Here is a 6,724-nt window from a genome sequence, read left to right as displayed (position 1 = left end):
CCAGAGCGGCACCTGCCTGTGTGAGGTGTCTGTTGGCTCCTACTGGGAGGTGTCTCCCAGTCAGGCTACACAGCGGTCAGGGACCCACTTGAGGAGGTAGTCTGTCTGTTCTCAGAGCTCGAACGCCATGCTGGGAGAACCACTGCTCTCTTCCGAGCTGTCAGACAGGGACGTTTTAAGTCTGCAGAAGTTGTCTGATGCCTTTTGTTCAGCTATGCCCTGCCCACAGAGGTTGAGTCTATAAAGGTAGTAGGCCTTGCTGAGCTGCAGTGGGCTCCACCCAGTTCAAGCTTCCTGGCAGCTTTGTTTACCTACTCAAGCCTCAGCAATGGCAGACGCCCCTCCACCACCTCCCACAAGGCTGCCACCTCGCAGGTCGATCTCAGACTGCCGCGCTAGCAGAGAGCAAAGGACCATGGGCATGGGACTCACTGAGCCAGGCACGGGAGGGAATTTTCTGGTCTGCTGGTTGCTAAGACCATGGGAAAAGTGCAGTATTTGGGCAGAAGTGTACCGTTTTTCCAGGTACAGTCTGTCACGGCTTCCCTTGGCTAGGAAAGGGAAATCCCCTGACCTCTTGCACTTCCCAGGTGAGGCAATGCCCCGCCCTGCTTCGGCTCACCCTCCATGGGCTGCATCCACTGTCCAACCAGTCCCAGTGAGATGAACCAGGAACCTCAGTTGGAAATGCAGAAATCACCCATCTTCTGTGTCAATCTCACTGGAAGCTGCAGAACGGAGCTGTTCCTACTTGGCCATCTTGGAAGTGACTAATTGATTCTTTAATCCGTAATCTGAGCATCCACCTTATATGGGATTGCTTTTCACGATGACCACCATGAATAGCCAGATTATAACATGTTAGAAAACAAAACACACAGGGGAACTTACCAAAAGGAGTAGAAGATTTCTTAGACAAAATTTCAAAGCAGAAACCATAAGGCAGAAAAAGTGGAGGGGATTTCATGATGTTACAATCAAATAGATCTGTTGCAAGTGACACATGGCAAAATGAGAGAAGTTATGTGCAGTCTAAAACTGACAAGAGATTAGTGGCCTCAATATACGAGGAGCTCCTGAAAATTAACAAGAAAAATAAATAGACAAAGGACACGAGCAGGCAGTTTTTGGGAGAGGAAACCCCAAAAGCCAGGAAGCATATGAGGAAGTGGCTAAGATCATTAGTACAGAAATACACATTCTAACAATAAGATATATGAGGAAATAGTTCTCCAAAAAAGATACACAGATGGTCAATGAGCACAAGAAAAGGTGCTGAGAATCACCCAGAATAAGGGAAATGCAGATGAAAACTACAGTGAGATAGCACTTCATACCCACTAGAATAGCTACTGTCAAGAAAACCCGAAAATACCGAGTGTTGGTGAGGAGTGAGACATTAGACCCTTGTGCACTACCGGTGGGTATGTAAAATGGTGCCGCCACTGTGGACAACAACATGGCCATTCCTAAAAAAAAATTCAAATAGAATTACCGTATGACCAAGAATTTCCACTTCTGGACGTATTCCCAAAAGGATTGAAAGCAGGATGTTAAAGAGATATTGTATATCCAAGTTCATAGCAGCAGCATTCATAGGAACCAAAAAGTGGAAGCAAGTGTCCATTGATAGACGAATGCATGAACAAAATGTGGTCTATACATGCAATAAAATATGATTCAGCCTTAGAAAGGGAGAGAATCCTGTGATAGGCTACATCGTGGATGAACCTTGAGGGCATTATGCTAAGTGGAATAGCCAGTCACAAAAAGACAGTATTCCACTTACATGTGATACCTAGAATAATCAAATTCATAGAAACAGAAAATAGAATGATTGCCAAGGGCTGGGGCAAAAACGGAATGGGAAGTTAGTATCTAATTGGACACAGTGTTTCAGTTTCACAAAAGTAGAGTTCTTGAGATGGATGGTGGTAATGGTTGCACAACAATGTGAAAGTATTTGATACCACTAAAGTGTACAATTAACAGTGGTTAAGATGGGAAATTTTATGTTCTGTGTGCTTTACTACAATTTGAACCAGATACAACCTTATACATACATGGTAGGCAAAATTCTCAGCTGAACTCCAATAGGCAAGCACTTCTGTAATCCTCTCCTGGTAAATGTGCTTCTAATTAATAGATTCTAACAAAGGTGATGATGTGCCATATGGAAAAGGGGAAAAGAATTTGCCAATGTAATTAAAGTCCCTGATCAGTTGACTTTATGTTAATGAAAAAGGACATCATCCAGGGTGCATCTAATCAGGTGAGCCCTTTAAAAAAGGATGTAAAGGTATGAGACTATCTCTCCTGCTGACATTGAAGAAGCAAGTCTCCTTGAGTTCTACAACCACTCGGAGATGAATACTGCCAGCCACCTGAGGCAGCCTGGAATCAGATCTTTCTCCAGTGGAGCCTCTGATGAGAATGCAGCCTGGCCAACACCGGGTTACAGTCTGAGCAGAGCACCCAGCTAAGCCGAGCCCAGAATCCTGGCCCACAGAAAATGGGAGATGAAAAATAAATGGTGTTTTAAGCCACACAATTTGTGTTAACTTGTTCTGCAGCTGTAGAAAACTAATGCAATCTTTTAGGCAAAACTAATCTAGGAAGAGACAAGTATTGGAGCTGGGCACAGTGGCAGATGCCTGTCATCCCAGCTACTCAGGAGGCTGAGGTGAGAGGATCCCATGAGCCCAGGAGTTTGGGGCTGCAGTGAGCTATGATCGCACCTGTAAGTAGCCAGGGCAACAAGTGGGACCCTGCCTCAAAAAGAAAAAAAAAAGAAGTCTTCATGTTGGGTGGGGAAGTGGGGAAGTTGATGAGGGCACTGCTTGTGGAGTGTAGACCAGAGCCACCATTGTGGAGGGATTTTGATCAATAGTATGCATCCCTTACACCCCTGCTATTCCATTTCCAGGTAGAGATGTAAAAGAAATTGACACAGATTCATCAAACATGCACACCAAGATGTTCACTGCAGAGTTCTTTGTGGTAGTGTGGGGATGGGGGCTGCGGGAGGCACCCTAGGGTTTCTATCCTGGGGAGAATGGAGAGACAAAATGGGAATGGTCCACACCATGGAGAATTATGCAGCCACAAGGAGAGATGAAAGGCACACATAGCCACATGGATGGGCCTGAACACAGGGCTGAGTTTAAAAAGGAAGAAGCAACATGGGAACCCAAACATTACCATTTGCAGACATTAAAAAACACATAAAGACTGTATCTCTTTTGAAAGAGCATTTTTAAAGCAGCACAGGAGGTGGGGGAATCTATGGGGAGCATGTTGCCCATGCAGGGGAAGGGAATGGGAGTGAGTGTGGAGACAAAAGAATAAATAAAACAAAAGTGGTTTTATTGGACCAACAATAATTCACTGAGTAGTTTAGCGCAACTTGAGGGTAAAATTAACGGCACCTGGATCTGGGGCAGCTGCAGAGGCAGCGACGTCCAGGCCTTTGTGCAGGGGGGCTAAGGTCACCCGTGCAGGTGGGGAAACAGTAAATGCCAATGAAGCAGGTGTGTGTGGTATAGAGCAAGCAAGAAAGGAGAGATTACTTTGGCCTAAGAGGGATATCTGCATTTATATTACTAATGAGTTTCCACTGTAAGCCACAGAAAGCCCGGCTCAAAGCGATTTTTTTTTTTCTTTGCAAACAGAATTTATTGACTCAAGTGACTAAAATGTCCAGGCTGACTCCCTTGGGTGGGAAAGATGGTTGCCAGCAGGGCCAGGCGTATTCTCTCCAGCTAGGAAACCAGAATTGTGGACCTCCCTTTCTCAGAGGTTTCCACAAAAGCCCCAAGGCTGGTCCCCTTTGGTCAGAAAGAGTGACACGCCTGAACAAATCCCCAGGGCCAGGCCCGGGTCACATCGCCACCTGCAGACAGCAAGGGCTTCCAGCATAGGCATGGCATGAGCACAAGCTCGTGGAGGGACGTCTTTGGGAACGAAGCTGGAAAAGCAGGAGGTGAGGTTCCATGGCTGCCAGCTCAGGCGTGACCTTCGCTGCCACTTACTCAACTTGGAGGCTGTTGGTGGATGGAGGAGAGCCCTGGAGCATTTCCTCCCAGAAAGGAAATGCCTCCAGAAGTGCCTCCCTCTAGGTTCTTCTCACTGCCAACAAGTCCCTTTCCCAGAGAGGAAGGAGGCTCAAGGGCTCAGAGCGTTCTCAACACAAATGACTGTGGGGAGAGCCCTTGTGGGGGCCTGGTTCATTGCAAGAGGGAGCTCATGTGGATGCAAATCTATATAATCGGTTGCCAAAAAAGTACTGAGCCGGCCTGTTTTCATCCTGTACCAGGCGGCCTGCAGAGGACAGAATGTCCACGCTGTCTCTACAGAAATCCTTTCCGGCCAAGCCCAGGGCCTGGGGGTTCTCCAGCACTTAACCACCAGCTTTCCTGCCCTGCCCGCACAGGAGCAGCCAGTGGGTGGCTGCCATTATTGTCTCCAGGGGCACTGGGGGCGATGCTGGGCTGGGTAGGGCTGTGTGGGGCTGAGGGCAGTGTGGGTTCTGAGGGTCAGGAAATGACCTTCCTTTATGCACTACCACAACACCTCCCACAAACCACTCCTCCTGCTGCCTGGGGTTTTGAACACAGTCCTGGCCTCTTTATGGCAGTGGCAGGCAGTGTGGTTTTGGAATGGCCAGCCTGCCACAGGAGGCAGAGCTCCCACTGTGCCAGGAGGCAGAGCTCCCACTGTGCCGGCAAACAATAAGCACTGTTGTTTTTCCCCAGAGTGGGGCTGCCCGGTACTGGTCTGTGCCTGTCTCTCTGGAGCAGGAAATCGAGCAGAGGGAAATGTGTGGATTGGTTAGAGTGCTGTCAGCTGCAAGGAACAGAAAACCCAACTCAAAGGGGCTTAAACAATCAAGATGTGTCTCCTGTGCCAAGCAGTGCAGAGGTAGGACAGCTCAGGGCTGGTTAGATCAGGGCCGCAGGAAGCCAACAGGGACCCAGGTTTATTCCACATTCCATGCTGCCCTCCTCTTCAGTGGGCCAGTCTGTTTTCAGGCCAGCTTCCCTCATAATCACAAGTCAGCTGCCACAGTTCCAGGCATCACCTCCAGATATGACAACACTCAGCAAAAGAGACTCTCTTCTCCTGGATCCATCTTCTAAAGAGTAAGGGAACTTTTCCCAGAATTTCACCCAGCAGCTCTTCCATCATGTCTCACTGGCCAGAATTGCATCACAGACCTATCCTTAGCCAGTATTTGACAGAGGAAACAGGAAAGCCATGACTGGCTTGAAGGGCATGGACTACCCCAATAGCACAGGGTTTGGATGCTCCTGCAGATGCTCCAACAGCCTTCACCACACCAGGAGACAGAGGTTCTTCCCAGTTGGAGATCAGCTTTATTCACCATTGAGGATGTGATGTTTGGAGCTGTAGGGGCCATCTTGCAGCAATGGGGGGAAATTCAAGAACATCTCAGACTTGCTAACGCCATGCTTTGCCTTTACTGGGCCGTGAGACAATCCTGGGACCACATAGGTTTGTTACGTGAGTAAAATGAACTCCTGTTCAATGAGGCCTCCATTAGTTGAGTTTTCTTTACTTGCAGCCCAACTGACACAGAGTTCAGTTGTTTTGAGCAGTGGAGGGACAGGAAAGGCTCCAATGGCGGCCATTCTCCTTTGGGTTCCCATCCTCTGTGATGAGAAATCCTCGTAAAAATCACCCACCAGGACACTGAGATGGCCAAGTTTCTGCTGACCTTCCATGTGTCCTTGCAAACTTCAGAGGAAACTGGACCCTGGGCAAAATGATGAAATTAGAGAGTCCCTGAGCCCTTCTTCTCGCCAGAAAACTCCACCCATGACCCAAATTCCCAGAGGACATAGGAAATTATCAGTTATAATTGCAAATAATAAAGACTTAGAAACCTGACAAGAGGGTCTTAAGCAAACACGGTTTGGGGTTTTTCTATTCCTTGAGTAATGAGAAGCCCAAAGGTCAGGATCCATGATGGTCCCACTGCTGGGGCTGTGGTGAGGCTATAGGGGACCAGGGTCCTTCCAGCTCCCTATGTTGACATCCTCACCAGGTGCCTTCATCCTCAGGGTCACAAATACCTGCTGCTACACCTTCAGGCAGAACTTTGTGCCCCAGGGAGGAATATAGGGAAGGGGAAAGGTACAGTGAAGAGCCACCAGGCCCAACAGGAAAGCAGTAGCTGTCCTGGAAGCCCCACTCTGAAGATGCCTGTCATGGGCTGTACTGTGTTGTGTAACCACCTTTGGCTTTGAGGGAGAGGAAGGGGAGAATGGCTGTGGACTAGGTAGCTAGCTGCGTCGGCCACCAGGTGTGGAGTCCGGAAACCTGGGACTCAACCCAACACTGCTTCCTGCTGCCTTCAGTAACCCCAGGCAGCCCAGGTCATTGCTGCAGCCTCAGCAGCCTCTCCTGCCTGGCAGAAAGTGGGGGAAGAGAACTGCCTCCATGAGGGTTCCTGAAGGCTGGGTGTTCACTTGGCCTTCTCCCCATCTGGGGCAATGGGTCCTAGGGCAAGCATGGGAATGGGAAGTGTGGCTTATTCAAGGCTCTTCTGATGTCAAGTGATAGAAATTGATTCAACTCATCTATAGAGGAAAAGGGCGGGTGATAATTAATTTATTTCAGACCCAATGGGCAAGAGGAGCAGTCAGACCTCAGGAAGGACCTGACCTCAAGCTAGCAAGCCCTTGGAGACAGAGGCAGCTGC

At 48.6% G+C, this 6,724-nt stretch overlaps 1 annotated feature.

The window, feature by feature from the left end:
• Nucleotides 357-913: an enhancer, noted in NCBI's record as "H3K27ac-H3K4me1 hESC enhancer chr2:96444078-96444634 (GRCh37/hg19 assembly coordinates)". NCBI's record gives its function as "activates a minimal SCP1, AML or CMV promoter by ChIP-STARR-seq in primed H9 embryonic stem cells {active_cell/tissue: H9 hESC(primed)}" and the evidence as "EXISTENCE:reporter gene assay evidence [ECO:0000049][PMID:30033119]".

This window comes from Homo sapiens, chromosome 2 (assembly GCF_000001405.40).
Source record: "Homo sapiens chromosome 2, GRCh38.p14 Primary Assembly".
In the NCBI taxonomy this organism is placed as follows: Eukaryota; Metazoa; Chordata; class Mammalia; order Primates; family Hominidae; genus Homo; species Homo sapiens.
The sequence above is the reverse complement of the archived record's forward strand: the minus strand, read 5'-3'. Positions and strand labels throughout refer to the sequence as shown.